This window comes from Homo sapiens, chromosome 7 (genome assembly GCF_000001405.40).
Source record: "Homo sapiens chromosome 7, GRCh38.p14 Primary Assembly".
NCBI classification, from domain to species: Eukaryota; Metazoa; Chordata; class Mammalia; order Primates; family Hominidae; genus Homo; species Homo sapiens.
In genome coordinates, this window is record NC_000007.14 from 127,527,038 (window position 1) to 127,543,828 (window position 16,791).

At 41.9% G+C, this 16,791-nt stretch overlaps 1 long non-coding RNA gene across 3 annotated transcripts in view, besides 1 other annotated feature; it reads right to left on the reverse strand.

Moving 5' to 3' along the window:
- The window catches only part of LOC105375490 (uncharacterized), a 104,836-nt gene that overhangs the window by 42,027 nt on the left and 46,018 nt on the right, over positions 1 to 16,791 (reverse strand). The window contains exons 1-3 of one of the 3 annotated variants that reach the window (XR_001745352.2): positions 11,648 to 11,872; positions 9,665 to 9,849; positions 8,112 to 8,194 (exon numbers count right to left, since the gene is read on the reverse strand). This is a non-coding gene — a long non-coding RNA (uncharacterized LOC105375490). Of the gene's footprint in view, positions 1 to 8,111; positions 8,195 to 9,664; positions 11,873 to 16,791 lie in introns of those variants that run through there. The other 2 variants (XR_001745351.2, XR_007060511.1) reach the window with 2 other exon arrangements.
- Positions 7,295 to 10,455: an enhancer, noted in NCBI's record as "VISTA enhancer hs1308". NCBI's record gives its function as "enhancer in: midbrain (mesencephalon)[7/7] | forebrain[7/7]" and the evidence as "EXISTENCE:transgenic organism evidence [ECO:0001131][PMID:17130149]".

Below are 16,791 nucleotides of genomic sequence, written 5' to 3' on the forward strand. Positions count from 1 at the left end.
TGACTTCTCGTTCTCAAGGTGTCTCCCCTTTTCTTCAAGTGGTAATTTACCAAAAAGTTAGTTACCGATCATTAGTTCCCACATGGACCTAGCCCAGTAGTCTAAATTAAGAGTGAAAAAAGAGGAAAATCATGTAACTTACCCCCAGTGCAGCCAATAATTTTTCTCAGAAAATAGAGAAACAGAAATGACTAAAGGAGAAATTACTATTAATTTCATTAATAATAATAATGTCAACAATAACAATTCCTGCAAAAAAAAACCCTTAGACTTAGTCATGAGATAATGAAGCCTCATTTTATTTTTAAGTAAATACATGCCACATGAAGAAACAGCAGCTTGTGGTTAGATCTAGAGCCATTCAAATCTCTCCAAGCCTACAAACATACCATAAAATAAAAAACATTCTGGTATTCATAGGTAAGCACATCTGTAGTGAATTTGCTAACTAGGGAAGACAGAGAACAGTCACAGAGGCAGAGACCCCCTTCTCTGTGACTCACCTTTCCACTGGGGCTCTGAGCAACCCAGGCCGAGGGAGACCACTTTGTTTCTCCCAAGCCCTGGAGCTAAGTTGGGGAGAGGCTTGGAGATGCTGTGAGGGAAAGACACCAGGAAAAGCTGCAGACATTTTTCTAGACCCAGGACTGAGAGCAGGATGCCATTCTTAATCCAAGCACATACCAATCAGCCACTCTTAGGCAGCCCGGCAGCATGGCCACGCAGGCATTTTAGTCTCAAGCACCTACTCTGAACTATGGAAGGGGCCTCAACAGCCAGAACTGTCGAAAGTGCCTCAGCAGTAGGGCTAGAATTGGGCTCTCTCCAGTCACAAGCCTGGGGCAGGAAGAGGCTACTACAGCTGCAGTTTCTCCTTGGCAAAAAACAAGCACAAACTAATCTGAAAGCTAGCAGGATAAAAGAAATAACTAAAATCAGAGCTGAGGTGAATGAAATCGAGACTCGAAAAATCGAGACCCGAAAATCCGTAAAAAGAATAAACAAAACCAAAAGTTGGTTCTACGAAAGTATAAACAGGATTGACAGACCACTAGCTAGATTAACAAAGAAAAAAAGAGAGAAGGTCCAATCAAGCACTATCAGAAATGACAAAAGTGACATTACAACTCATCCCTCAGAAATACAAAAGATCCTCAGAGACTATTATGAACACCTCTATGCACACAAACTAGAAAATCTAGAGAAAATAAATTTCTGAAAACACATAATGTCCCAAGATTGAATAAGGAAGAAATTGAAACACTGAACAAACTAATGTCGAGTTCCAAAATTGAATCAGTATAAAAAACTTACCAATCATAAAAAGCCCTGGACCAGACAGATTCACTGCTGAATTCTACCAGATGTACAAAGAAGAGCTGGTACCAATTCTACTGAAACTATTCCAAAAAAACAAATAGGAGGGACTGCTCCCTAACTCATTCCACAAAGCCAGCATCACCCTGATACCAAAATCTGGCAAAGACACAATGAAAAAAGAAAACTACAGGCCAATATTCCTGATGAACATAGACACAAAAAGCCTCAACAAAATACTGAATTCAAAAACACATCAAAAAGTTAATTCACCATGATCAAGTAGGCTTGTTTCCTGGGATGCAAGGTTAGTTCAACATATGCAAATCAATACATGTGATTGACCACATAAACAGAGTTAAAAACAAAAACCATAAAATCATCTCAATAGATGCAGAAAAAGCTTTTGATAAATCCCACATCCCTTCATGACAAAAACTCTCAAGAAACTAGGCATCAAAGAACATACCTCAAAATAATAAGAGCCATCTATTGACAAACTCACAGCCAACATCACACCAAATTGGCAAAAACTAGAATCATTTCCCATGAGAACTGGAACAAGACAAGGATGCCCACTCTCACCACTTGTATTCAACATAGTAATGGAATTGCTGGCGAGAGCAACTGGGCAAGAGAAAGAAATAAAAGGGATCCAAATAGGAAAATAAAAAGTCAAATTATCTCTCTTCACTGATGATATAATTCTATACTTAGAAAACCCTAAGGACCCTGCCAAAAGGCTATTAGAACTGATCATTTTAGTAAGGTTTCAGGATATAAAATTAATGTACAAAAAACAATAGCATTTCTATACACCAATAATGTTCAAGCCGAGAATCAAATCAAGAATGCAAACCCATTTACAATAGCCACAGTGCAAACCCAATTACAATAGTACCCCTGCTGACACACACACACACACACACACACACACAAATACCTAGGAACACATCTAGCCAAGGAAGTGAAAGAACTCAACAAGGAGAACTACAAAACTCTGCTAAAAGAAATCACAGATGATACAAACAAATGGAAAGACATTCCCTGCTCGTGAATTGGGAGAATCAATATTATTAAAATGGCCAACTGCCCAAAACAATCTACAGATTCAAAGCTATTCCTATGAGACTACCAATGTCAATTTTCACAGAATTGGGAAAAAAAACTATGCTAAAATTTATACAGAACCAAAAGAGCCCAGATAGCCAAAGCAATTTCAAGCAAAAAGAACAAAGCCAGAGGCATCACATTACCTACCTTCAAACTATACTATAAGGCTACAGTAAACAAAACAGCATGGTACTGGTACAAAAACAGACACATAGACCAGTGGAACAGAAGAGAGAATCAAAAAGTAAAGCCATACACCTATAGCCATCTGATCTTTGACAAAGTTGACAAAAATAAGCAATGAGGAAAAGACTGCCTATTGAATAAATGATACTGGGATAACTGGTTAGCCATATGCAGAAGAATGAAACTGGACTTTCACCTCCATCATATAAAAAATTAACTCAAAATGAATTAAAGATTTAAATGTAAGACCTCAAACTATAAGACTCCTAGAAGAAAACCTAGGAAACACCATTCTGGACATTGACTTCGGGAAAGAATTTATGACTAAGTCCTCAAAAGCAATCACAAAAAAATTATGACAAGTGGGACCTAATTAAACTAAAGAGCTTCTGCAGAGCAAAAAAAACTATTAACAGAATAAAAAGACAACCTACAGAATAGGAGAAAATATTTGCAAACTATGCATCTAACAAAGGGCTACTATCCAGAATCCATAAGGAATTTAATTCAACAAGGAAAACACAGAAAACCCTATTTAAAAATGGGCAAAGAATACGAACAGACACTTCTCAAAAGAAGACATACAAGCCAGCAACAAACATGAAAAATGCTCCACATTAGTAATCATCAGAGAAATGCAAATCCAAACCACAATGAGATATCATCTCACACCAGTCAGAGCAGCTATTATTAATGTCAGAAAAACAACAGATGTTGGCAAGGTTGTGGAGAAAAGGGAATGCTTACACACTGTTGATGGGAATGCAAATTAATTAAGTCACCATGGAAAGCAGTTTAGAGATTTCTCAAAGAACTTAAAACAGAAATTCCATTTGCAGCAATCCCATTATTGGGTATATACCCAAAGGAAAACAAATCATTCTACCAAAAGGACACATGTACTTGCATGTTCATCGCAGCACTATTCACAATAGCAAAGACAGGGAATCAACACAGGTGCCCCTCAGTGGTGGATTGGATAAAGAAAATGTAGTATATACACACCATAGAATACTACATAGCCATACAGAAGAATGAAAGTATGTGATTTGCAGCAATATGGATGCAGCTGGAGGCCATTTCCCTAAGCAAATTAACATAGGAATAGAAAACCAAATACCACATGTTCTCACTTATAAATAGGAGTTAAACATTGGGTACTCATGAACATAAAGATGACAACAATATAGACACTGGGGACTACTGGAGCAGGAAGGGAAAGAGGGGGACAAGGGTTGAAAAACTAACTGTTGGGTACCATGTTCAGTACCTGGGTGACAGGATCATTCTTACCCAAAACTTCAGCATCATGCAATATATCCAGGCAACAAACCTGCATATGTACCCCTGAATCTAAAATAAAAGTTGAAAAATACATATATTCCATAGTACCAGTAAATTATGCAGGATTTCTCAAAACAGATAACATGCACAATGACATTTAGAATCATATTACTCTATCTTGATACTGTTTTGCCATCTGCAAGACTCTACAATTAATGCATCCTGCTGTAACTTTACTATTTTGTCAAACTGGAATATTGTATGTAGGTCCAAAGGCTTTGTGTTGTAGACACTTAATGAATAAATTGATTTAGAAAACGGGAACCAAGACAAATTCCAGAAAATTCAGGGCATGTTAAAATATTTGGCATTCAAATAGATGACCTGTTATAAAGCCTACATATTTGTATACTTTTTGAAAGGGACTGGACCCCAGAGCCAGATGAACTAAGTTCTACTAAGCTTTGACACTGGAGAATTTAACTTCTCTGTGACTCAGTTTTTTCATTAGTAAAGTGGGGATAGGAGTAGTACATATCATAGGGTTGTAAGGAGAACTAAAAGTGAGCTAACATGTGTAAAACACTTAGAATGGTGTCTGGCACATAGTAAATACTATATGGGAATCAGCTGTTTTTACTTCTCAGGTACTAGAGGTAGGAGCTCCAGTAAGGTGCCATTTTAGCATGACCAATACAAACAAGTCCCTTGGTTTGGCACTTCAGGATTCCTGAACCCAAAGATCCAACTGGGCTAATGACCTAAGCTAACAGATGAGCCCTTCTATTAGCAACATAATGAGTTTGGAGTTCTCTCCTCCAAATGCCTTCAACCCTAAACATCCAGGTGCCGGAGGAGAGCATGCTCTGGATCAGCAGCTAGTAATTAATGAAGAGACACCATTAGGAGCCCATCTATGGATACCACTTTGCAGAAAAGAGTGATACAGTAGAGTCTACCGATAATAACACTTATAAAACATTTTCGATAATTGAAAAGCACTTCAAGATTCAATAATATTTCAGAACTGTTGTTATGAGCATTAGTTATTGATATGGTTTGGATTTGTGTCCCTGCCCAAATCTCATGACAGATTGTAGACCCCAGTGTTAGAGGAGGGGCCTGGTAGCAGGTGATTGGTTCATGGGGACAGATTTCCCCCTTGCTGTTCTCATGATAGTGAGTGAGTTCTCACGAGATCTGGTTGTTTAAAAGTGTATGGCACCTCCCTCTTCTCTTTCTTCCTCCTGCTCTGGCACATAAGACGTGCCTCCTTCCTCTTTGCCTTCCGTCATAATTGTAAGTTTCCTGAGACCTCCCCTGCCATGCTTCCTGTACAGCCTGTGGAAGAGTGAGCCAATTAAACCTTTTTTCTTTATAAATTACCCAGTCTCAGGTAGTTCTTTATAGCAATGCCAGAACAGACTAATACAGTTATCACCATATTATAGAGATACAGGCATGCATAGAAAGATAACAACTTGGCTGGGTGCCAGGGGCTCATGCCTGTAATCCCAGTGCTTTGGGAGGCCAAGGCAGAAGTATTACTTGAGGCCAGGAGCTCAAGACCAGTCTGAGCAACATAACAAGACCCTGTCTATACAAACATAAAATTTTTTTTTTAAATTAGCTAAGTGTGATGATGCACACCTGTAGTCCTAGCTACTCAGTGGGCTGAGACAGGAGGATCACTTGAGCCCAGGAGTTCAAGGCTGCAGTGAGCTATGAACAACAGAACAAGACTAAGGAAGGAAGGAAGGAAGGAAGGAAGGAAGGAAGGAAGGAAGGAAGGAAAGAGAAGGGGAAAGGGAAGGGGAAGGGAGGGGAGGGGAGGGAAGGGAAAGGAAGGAGGGAGAGAGGGAGGGAGGGAGGGAGGCTTTACTATTTTACATTGCCACTAGCAATATATGAGTGATTCATTTTGTCCATATCCTCACCAGCATTCATCACTGTTATTTTTCATTTTAGCCATTCTGATAGGCATGTAGAGATATCTCATTGTGGTTTTTACTTTGCATACCTCTAATGCCTTGTTATGTTGAACATCTTCTCATGTGCTGATTTGACATCTGTGTAGTTTCTTCAGTGAATACTTTTTCTTGCCTTTTGCCCATTTTCTAATTGAATTATTTGGTTTTTATTGCTATGTTTTGAAAATTCTTTATATATTCTAAATACTGGTCCTTTATCAGATATGTGGTTTGAAAATATTTTCTCCCAGTCTCTAGCTTATCTTTTCATCTCCTTGACATAGACTTTCTCAAAGCAAAAGTTTTTAAGATCCAATTGATCAATTTTCCCTTTTATGAATTATGCTTTTGATGTCAAATTTAGAACCCCACAGTAACAGTCATCACACTAGAAGTAGGGTGAGCTATTCATCCAGGTTTCCCCAGGACTTTCCTGACTTTAGCACTGAAAGTTTCACATTCTGGGAAACCCTTCAGTTCCAGAGAAACCATGATGATCACCCAAACTAGAACCTGCCCCTCTTTTGCACCAAAGCAACAGTGAAGGGGCTAGTTCACTTTTAGGAACAGGAAGACAGCATATACTGTGACTTAGAACCAGTACATGAGATCACTATACATGAGTACATTGTGACGCTGCAAGGTTATGCCATGTGCAATGGTAACTTTGCCATTTCCTCCTTTACTATAATGGGCTTGATGCTCTAGAAAGGTGGGCTGGCAGGGAAACAGAGAGCTTCACTTACATGCTCATCCCTTAGATCCTGCGCCCCCCATTCTGGAGTCTGGACCTGGGACAGCTCTTCTCCCAATTCCCACCCACATCCTCCCCCATGTAGTTCAATCCTTTGAGCCAGGGTCCTCTATCCTGGCTGCACACCAGAATCCCCTAAGCAGCTCTGCAAAAATGCTCATGACTGGGCTTCCTCTCCAACCAATTAAATTTGATTCCCTGGGAGTGGGGCCCAGGCATTTATCAATTGTAAAAAATCCTCAAGTGATTCCAGTGTGTGGCTAGGGTTGAGCCTCCCTGCTCCAGGCTCTAGGAGTGTAAACCGAGGGGGAGCAGGGATGAGATCTGTCTGCTACCACTGTACCCACAGCACCTGGTACAGTGCCCACCTGTAGTAGGCCTCTGATATATATTTGGTAATTTTTTAAATGAGTGAATAATACAGAAATGATCAAAGACTGGGACCAAATACCACTTACTTTGTCTCTGCTGCTTGAAACCGAAGAATCAAATCAGGTGCAAGATAAACTGTAAGATAAGCCTACCTAAAACTAGACTGTCCCCACACCCTTCCTAATCTCCCAGAAAAGCTACTGGAGTTGAAAAGTCAAGAAATTCCTCATTGCATCAATGGGCATTTTTATTCCCATCATGTTACAAATGGATATTTGGCTCTGGGACAGTGAGAGTGCACCTCGTCTCCAGGTGAGTTAGAATCCAGAGCCCCTGGTGGCATCAGCCTCACCAGGGAGCTGGCTAGAAATGCAGATTGTCAGGCCCCATTCCAGACCAACTGAATTAGAATCTATTTTAATAAGAACCCCAGTCATCCACATGCTCACTAAAATTTGGGAAGCACCCATCCAAACCAAATGACTGAGAAGTGATCATGGGAGAGAATCAGGTAGCTGTCCTGGAAGAGCAATGACCCCGCATCCCTCGCCCCAACCAAGCCTGTGAAGGAAAGAGACCCTCAATGAGGTCGGGGAAAGAGAAAGGGGTGGAGCCATACACAGAGGTCAAATCACAGCATTATTGGCCTTCACAAAATCCCGTGAGGCATCTTAGGACTTGAATCCTTAACCTTTCAAGTCTAAGCCTTGAGCTTGGAAGATTCATGAGCAAGCAAATGGATGCAGCAGAGAAGAAGAACCTGCAGATGCCGTGTCATGTGTTTTTAATTTCCTGAAGGATTTGGGTGATGACAGGGCTAAGTATCATCCTGAGATGGACTGGAGAATGTGGCAGTGTCTCTGAATTACCCGGCAGCAGAGGCAAGCTCCCTGGAGTTGCTGTGGGAGGCAGGGTGGGTGGGCCTCCTTGCTCCCTCCCCCACGTGGCCAGAGTTTTGTAATTCCCACATGACGTCCACTGTGCTGGGCAGTCCCCTCACAGCACAAGGCCCCTTAGAAACCTTTGCTTGTCTCTGTCCCGTCCAGCATTTTAGTTAGCATGTCAGCATCCTCACCAGTGTTTACGATTGGGAGCTTATTATTTTCATCACTTACTTCTTTCTAAAAGCAGCCATTGCTGGAGTTTGACGATGAAAAGGGATGGCTGTGGTCATTTTGTACATCAGGGGCACTTATACCTGCAAGGAAATAATTTATTTTTTGCAAATTCTAGATACCTGATTGTACTCCTTTATGCAATTTTCTCTAGATTCTAGTATTATCTATGCATCCCTTCCTGCAGAGACAATAGCTTATGCCCACCACAAGTTTATAGAGAACAGCCCCCAAACTAGGGTAAACATTGAGGAAAGAGCTAAAACCTCAACAAACTTCATCCTAAGTCCCTCTCTGCCCTCAATCCTAACCTGAGTGTGGTGGCAGAGACACAGAAGCACCAGAATGGGCTCTCTCAGGTAGAAACTGTGCTGAAACAATTATGCTTTGCTCTTGATGAAATTGGTTAAACTATTTGCTGCTTTACAACATCATATACGGAAAACATTTTTCTTGCCTAGACATGGCTTGAGGCGGTTTTTGCATTCTGCATCAGGAGGAAATTGATTAATGTGAATGTTTTAGCTGTGGTTGTTGTTTGTGTATAAACTTTTGTTGAAACAAGTAGGACAGAATAAATGACCTTTATGTAGACACCTATTAAGGCACTAAAAGGCTTGGCTACATTCATCTGAGACGCGTACACATAACGAGTAGAACAATAAGGGGATCAGCAGCTGCAAGGAGTTGAATTGAATTCTTCAACAATAGAAAAGTTTTTCAGACCCAAATACCAGCAATCAAAGAGAATTTTTGCAGATAATCCAAGAGAAAGAAAATAAAAAAAAAAATGCTAGCCAACTTTGCACCAGTTAGCATAAGGTTGCCATCTGAAACATGTCAGCTTAAGAGCAGACCATACCTCCATTCTTTTGCCCAACTGCAGTATTCAGAACTGTTTCCCCAAATAATCCCAGATGGCACACCACAAAATTTCAATTCATTTTAAAAGCTTTCTTTGCTGTTATTATGTGATTGAAAGTGCAAAAGCAAGTTGCCATTCTCATGGCACTATTTGCATTGACTATTATCCCCTAAAATCCCCTTTAAACAGCTACATTGTCAGCCCATAGGCCTCATTTAGAACTACAAAAAAGCCCAGATTAATTCGATCAAAGAAAGAGCCAAGTACAAAATGCACTTTTCAAACTGTATCAGAGTGGGTTCGCTTTACAGATCGCTTTGGGGCAAGAACCGCAGGGGAAAGAAAGTCCTGAAATAAAGCTTGGTTACGAAGCGAAATAACTAGGTTTGGCTCCCTGATTTATTTGAGCATCTCAAGGCGAAATCTCCAATTAAGAATTCTTCGAGGGAAATGTATTTAAATATAAATGCTGAAACAGATCCCCACAAATTGCAGCATCCCATTTGCTTTCAGCCATTGGCTTTCAGCCACCATTCTCAGGGGCAGCTTGAAGCCCTGCCTGGGTAACCTGGTTAGTAGGAGGCATTTCTGAAATCTCACACTCTGAATCAAGCCAAAGTACTTTACACTTGTAAAAATGTCTATCTGACTTTTCTCAGCCCATCCCAGAGGAAATGTTTTACGTTACCACAAGAAAATAAATTGCTGGAAAACAATGATGACACCATTTCTTTCAGCAAAACAAAACATGCTAGGATTCAGGTCGAATTCCGCGATGATCCGCCTGCTGCAAGCCCAGGTTCTTACAGGAACGCTGACCGGGCTGTCTGCTGGTCGCGTGGTGTGCTGTTTGTTTTAGTCTCACCTGGGGGTCTGAAGGTGGGGGAGAAGGTTGGGGTGAGCCAAGCTGGAGTTTGGATTTCTTAGGGACTCTCCATTAGTTTCCTAGGCAGGGTTTGCAGCGTCTGTCACCACTGAAGATGGTGCAGCGGCGCGCTGCAGCCGGCATGCTGCACCGAAGCTGTACCCTTCAACGGCTACTTTTGTGTGCTGAGAACATTTTACTGAGGAGGGAACGGCTGCACAAAGGTAGGGCTACAGGGCATGTGCAGCAAGATGTGCAACTGCCTCTTCAGGGACTGAGCAGGACCCAGAAAGCACTGAAAATAGGCAGCTCCAGCAAATATGAAAGTCATCTGCAGGAATGAGCAACCAGGGATGATTTTTGCCAGTTTTTTGGGCTCAATCTTTTGCACCAGAAGAAATGAACTCAAAATCCTGGGCTGTCTGCTGCTCCCCAAACCCACTCTGGAAACAAAAGACCATGATGCTGCTCTAATCATCACACAAAATGTTTAGAAAGGGTGCTATTACAAGGGGCTCCAATCTGAATACCCTGATCCAAACTTCTTGGTCACATGCTTAGCTAGAAATTGACAGAGCTAATAAGATATTCAAATTGCACATAGGTGTTCACCACCCCCAGCCACCAAATCCTTCTAACCATCTTGAGAATTATCTAGAGAAAACAAATATGGATGCAAAACTCTGCAAACTGAAAATGTTACCCCACCTCCACCCCTGGAGTCAGGAAGGCAGGGAAAGAAGTCAGTGGTGAGCACATACACAGGAAAGAGAATATGGAATTGAATTGTTTTCAGTGATGGAAAATATTCAGTTTTCCCCAAATCTTCTAAATTATTTGCAGTCCTGATAGTCCTAACTATTAATTACAGCAATACAGTACAAAGAAAAAGAGTTCTGGTTTTTTGAGAGCTGTATAAACTTTCTGAAATTCTGCAAACCTAAACCTGTCAAGGAAAGGTAGAAAGGCAACCACATGTGTTGATTCCTTAGGAGACAAACTATGTCACTGTGAGAAAATACACTCCAAGGAATTTATTTCTAGTGAGTTTCAATAGAGTGTTAACTGGTAGGAATGAGAATGTTTGCTGTGACTTTTTAAGTCTCACTGGAGCCCTAGATGAAAATACAATGACTTCCTTTTGATGATAAATATTTGTTTGATGATGAGTCAAGAATATTCTAAGCAAAATGAGAAAGGAAGATCAGCGCCTTCCTCATTACCACCAACGCAGGCTTCAGAGACCAAGGTGATTCCACCAGCACTCAGAAGAACATTGTTTAAGACAAATCTAAGCGGGTTTTTTTTTCCCCCCATGGGAATGCGAGAATAAGAGAAAGGATGCCATGGTATATTGTAAAAGTCTTCTTAGGAGCTCTGAATTCTAGTCCTGGCTCTGCCTCTAAGTAACAGAATGACCTTGAACTAGTCACTTTATCTCTCTAGTCCTTACTTTCCTCATCTATAAAATGAGAAAGCTAAACTAGATGATTTCCAAGGGCAGCCCCAAACATAACGTCAAAGAATGATGAGGGCATTCCTCTGGAGAGTGCATATAATTGTAATATAATGGTTCTAGAATATGCTTCTTGTTTTGTGTGCTTTCTACATAACAGAAGCACCTTCCTGGCACAGTATGGAGATTTGAAGGTTTTCTCTTAGCCTCTTAGAGGCTCCAGTCCTCTCTATGCTACACAAATGAATTAACTTGAATGTGGTCAATTTAAAATCTTCAGCCATGTTAGTCACGACTAACTGAACCAACTGACCCAAAATCCAAATCCTCCTTAGGAAATCCTGCATTACCTATCAAGGCCACCAGCCTCCAACTGTTAGTCCTCTGGAAACAGCCTTTATGTCTTCTTCTGTCAAATGGGAAAACAGGATGCCATTAAAAAAAATTATTTGACAAATACATCTCTTGGACATTTTGTATTTATAAAGAAGTCTTTAGTTATAAATACTTCCATTACCAGTATCAGTATCCATGAACTTATTCAAGAAATATTTATTTATTTATTCATTTATTTATTTTTGAGATGGAGTTTCACTCTTGTCACCCAGGCTGGAGTGCAATGGTGCAGTCTTGGCTCACTGTGACCTCCGCCTCCTGGGTTCAAGCTATCCTCTTGTCTCAGGCTCCCGAGTAGCTGGGATTACAGGTGCGTGCCACCATGCCTGGCTAATTTTTGTATTTTTAGTAGAGATGGAGTTTCACCATGTCGGCCAGGCTGGTCTCGAACTCCTGATGTCAGGTGATTCACCCACCCTGGCCTCCCAAAGTGCTGGGTGGCGTAAGTTACCACGCCCTGCCAATAAATATTTATTATTGAGTGCCTAGTTTGTGCCAAGCACTCTTCTTATATTTATAGGTAAGTAAATACAAGAGCAAAAAAGAATGACAAGTTCTCTGCTATCACGGAGCTCACGCTGTAATGGGGGCGAGGCAAAGAAAATAAACAAGCAAAGATAAAATTAGAGATAGGGAGATGTGATAGATACCGGATGGACTCTTTGAGATGACCTTTAGGCTAAGCTACGCATCACAAGAACCAGTCATGCACACATCGGGGAGAAGAGCATTCTGGGCAGAGGGAACAGCTAGTGCAAATGATATAAGATTTAAAAGGAAATTATTTGGGCAGATAGTGAGGGTATAGGAGTCCTCGGTAAGGTTTTCCTTTTAACAAAAAGCAGCCCCAAAATCACTGTCTTTTCTAACAAAGAGCAGCCTGTAAAATTGAACTGCAGACATAGACAAGCAAGCTGGAAGCCTGCATGGATGAATGCCGGCATTTGTGCCAACAGGAAAAGGCCACCTGGGACTAGGCATCTTCAAAATGGCAGCTCCATGTTCCCTTCTCTTTGCCAGCCACATGTACAGTAAGGAGCAGATAAGATGGCACTGACCAAGTGGAAAGTCCATTTGCATAATAAGATTAGGGTGGGATGGCCAGCCTTCCTTCATGCTATGTAAACATCACACCTGGTCCAACCAATCTGTGGGCCCGACATAAATCAGACACCGTCTCCTCAAGCCTGCCTATAAAATCTGGTGCGCAACTGCCTCGGGCCAGATTTCCCTTTCGGGCACTCCTCTCTCTTGCAAGAGAGAGAGCTGTTCTCCCTTCTCTTTCTTTGCCTATTAAACCTCTGCTCCTAAATTCACTCCTTCTGTGTGTCCGTGTCCTTAATCTTCTTGGCACAAGATGACAAACTCCGGGTATTTACGTATTTACCCCAGACAATGACGCCACTTCACAAAGTCCTAAAACAAACAAACAAACAAACAAACAAACAAAAAGACAGAAATCCAGTGTGGCTAGAGAGGAAAGCAGGAATCAGACCCTGTCCATCACTCAATTTTCTGCTAACTACAGGACGGAGTATATTAGAGAGTTTTAAGCAGGACAGTGACATAATCTACTTCAGTTGTTTTTTATTTGTTTGTTTGTTTGTTTGTTTTTGAGACAGAGTCTGGCTCTGTCGCCCAGGCTGGAGTGCAGTGGCGCCATCTCGGCTCACTGCAAGCTCCGCCTCCCAGGTTCACGCCATTCTCCTGCCTCAGCCTCCCGAGTAGCTGGGACTACAGGCGCCCGCCACCACACCCGGCTAATTTTTTTTTTTTGTATTTTTAGTGGAAACAGGGTTTCACCGTGTTAGCCAGGATGGTCACGATCTCCTGACCTCGTGATCCACCCACCTCAGCCTCCCAAAGTGCTGGGATTACAGGCAGAAGCCACCGCGCCCGGCCTACTTCACATTTTTAGAACATTACTCCTGCTGCTATGTGAAGAATGGATTCTAGGCAGAGCAAGTGTAGAGGGAAGGAGAAGTATTGGGAAGTTACTGCAATAGTACAAGTAAAGGAATGTGGCTTTGTCTGGGAAGCAGTCATAAAGATGGAGAAAAGCAAACGGAGTCAAGATATATCTTGGAAGAGTTGTTACTGGAGTAATGGGGGTAAGTGAGTGGGGGGAGGGAGGATACCAAGGGAAAGGGAAGAACAAGTGTTAACTTGTAGATGTTGGAATTGAGCAACTCAATGGGGAAGAAGCAAGCCTGATGCAATGGGAGGAATAATGAGTTCCATTATGGCCATGTTAAGTTTGAGATGTCCTATTAAATGTCCATGGAGAGAGATTAAGTAGGCAGTTGGACACATGAGTTTGGAGTTTCAGGGACAAGTCAGGGTTGCAGATGAGATTTGTGCATCATTAGGATAGGGTGAATGATTCTCACAGTCAATTCTAATTAAGACACTTCATCTTGAAGATAAATGCCACAGAAACCCTCTGATCCAATTCACCTAGGACCTGTAGTTGATTGATAAGCCAGACATCTCTTCTGTGCTACTTCAGGGCTGTCAGTCTCACTTGAATCCAGGGAGTTTGGTCACTTGCTTTGTACCCAGCTGCCAACCCAACAGCACTTACCTTTGTGCCCTTATCCCACATCTGTCACATCCAACATCCAAGTTTTCCAGGGATCCTCCCTATTAATATACCAAAGACCTCCTGCTAAGGTAGCCCTGCTCAGCCCCCACCTAGTTACATTTGGGAAGTACAAGGAAATTCATGCCCTGTGGTGTGCATCTTTGAGGTATGATGGCAGCTGACAAATAAATTCTTCTCCCTTCTACCTCCATATGTACTGCCCTGAAAAAAAAAAAATGATCCCACAAGATTGAGAAGTCTGTCATTCTCAAATACAAGTGGTGACCAGTTGAATAATAACATATTTGTCTTTTCTCATTCTCTTCTCCCTCCTCACTCCCACTTTTCCCTCACCCTTCTCCCCGCGATTGCATTCAAAAGGCAGCAATCCACTCAGGGGTGCAAGCTGCTCTGCCACCTTATCACTTAGCAGATCTGCTGGTGCTGGAAATATCTGGTATCTGTGGTGGATAAGAATAATTCATGAAGCATCTGGAAATCCTCAATAGGAGGGTTAGCTAGGGTTCTAAAGCAAGGCTACAGCTTCTGTGGCCAAGAGCTATTTTCCATTTGTAAAACAGCCGCTGGTATACCACTGAGACCTAGTAGAGACTGAGCACGTGACCTTGGGGCACCAAATGACTATGCAACTGAAATTGCCCATCAAGCCAGATATGAGCAGACTCACAGAATCATGAGTTCAGGCAAGCACAGCAGCAATTCACTGTACGATGAAAATGGTATATTCAGGATTGGACCTGAGCAAGTCCAGAAGTAATGAATAAATCACATGAATAGGTAACCCAGATTCCCATTCACCTAACTCCATTGCACTAACACCTCTTCCTCAACTCACTCTCACAGCCTTGTAAAGGATTTCTTAATACCAATTAACAGAGGAAGGAAAGAGCCATGATTCATATAATAGATGGGTCAATACAATACATTGGTGGTAAAATAAAATAAACTATGCTGCAGCCGCATTATCCAGGAGCAGGCCTAAAGGACAGTGACAAGGAAAATTCTACCTGTAGGCATAGCTGTAAGCAGTATACTTGATGATTCACTCTATATGGAATGGTCTGAAGTAAAGATATATATTGATTCCTAGGAAGTGGCAAAAAAAAAAATGGTTTAATTATTTGGTCAGGGTCCTGAAAAAAACAAGATTAGAAAGTTGGAAATAAGGAGGTCTGGGGAAGAGGCATGTGGCTGGACATATGGATATAGGTACTAAGTGCCTAGATCTTTGTGTCCCACCAGAGAGCATCCCTCCTAGACAAGGCTCTCACCATCTGGATGAACAGGGTGACTTGTCTTATGAACATTTTTGGTCACCACAGTGCTGGTGCAATAGACCCATGCCATTTGGCTCATACATAGCCTCCATCCATGTTGCCATGCCAAGGATGCACCCAATAGCATAAATTGCTCCTCACTAAGGTCAGCATAGCTAATACCACTGCTGAGTGTCCAACCTTCCAATAGCAGAGACTGACCCTGAGATATTGATATGGCACCACTCCTCAAGGAATTATACTTACATCACCTTCTGCCTCAGATAGAGGCTGGGCGCGGTGGCTCACACCTGTAATCCCAGCACTTTGGGAGGCTGAGGTGGGAGGATCATGAGGTCAAGAGATCGAGACCATCCTGGCCAACATGGTGAAACCCCATCTCTATTAAAAGTATAAAAATTAGCTGGGCATGGTGGCAGGTGCCTGTAGTCCCAGGTACTCAGGAGGCTGAGGCAGGAGAATCGCTTGAATCCGGGAGGTGGAGGCTGCAGTGAGCCGAGATCACACCATTGCACTCCAGCCTGGACGACAGAGCAAGACGCCGTCTCAAAAAAAAAAAAAGAGATCTTTTCAGGTTTGATACCTGCTTTAGATTGGGTTTGCCTTTCCTCTACATAATGCCTCCACCATCCAAGCCATCCAAGGTTTACATGTGCCTATTCTGTTGACATTGTATCACACATAATATTGCCTGGTGCAAGGGACCCATTTTACATCAAAGGAAGGTGACAATGGACATTTGACCATGAGCTCCACTGTCTTACCACACACTTCATCGCCCTGAAACATCCAGGCTAATAAGACAGTGTAATAACCTGTTAGGACTCATCTAATGTGCTAGAATAACACTCTGCAAACTTACTGTGCTTTGTGATCTAGGCATTGAACCAGCAAGCATAGTACATGGTTCTGTGTCTCCAATAACTAGAATATCCAAGTCCAAGAACCAGTGGGTAGAAGAAGGATTAACCCTTTTCATCATAATTCCCAGTGATTCACATAATGTTTGCTTCCCATTCCCTAAGCTTTAGGCTCTGCTTGCACTAGGGGGCCTCGTCCTGGGTGGGGATACTTCCATCAGGGAACAGAGTAAGATTTCTACTGCCTTGAAGCCTCAACTCCTCCTTGCTCATTTTCATCTCTTCCAGTAGATCAACAGGCAGATGCATGAGTTTATTTCTAATTATCATGAAAAGCTAGGTGATGCTACACAATG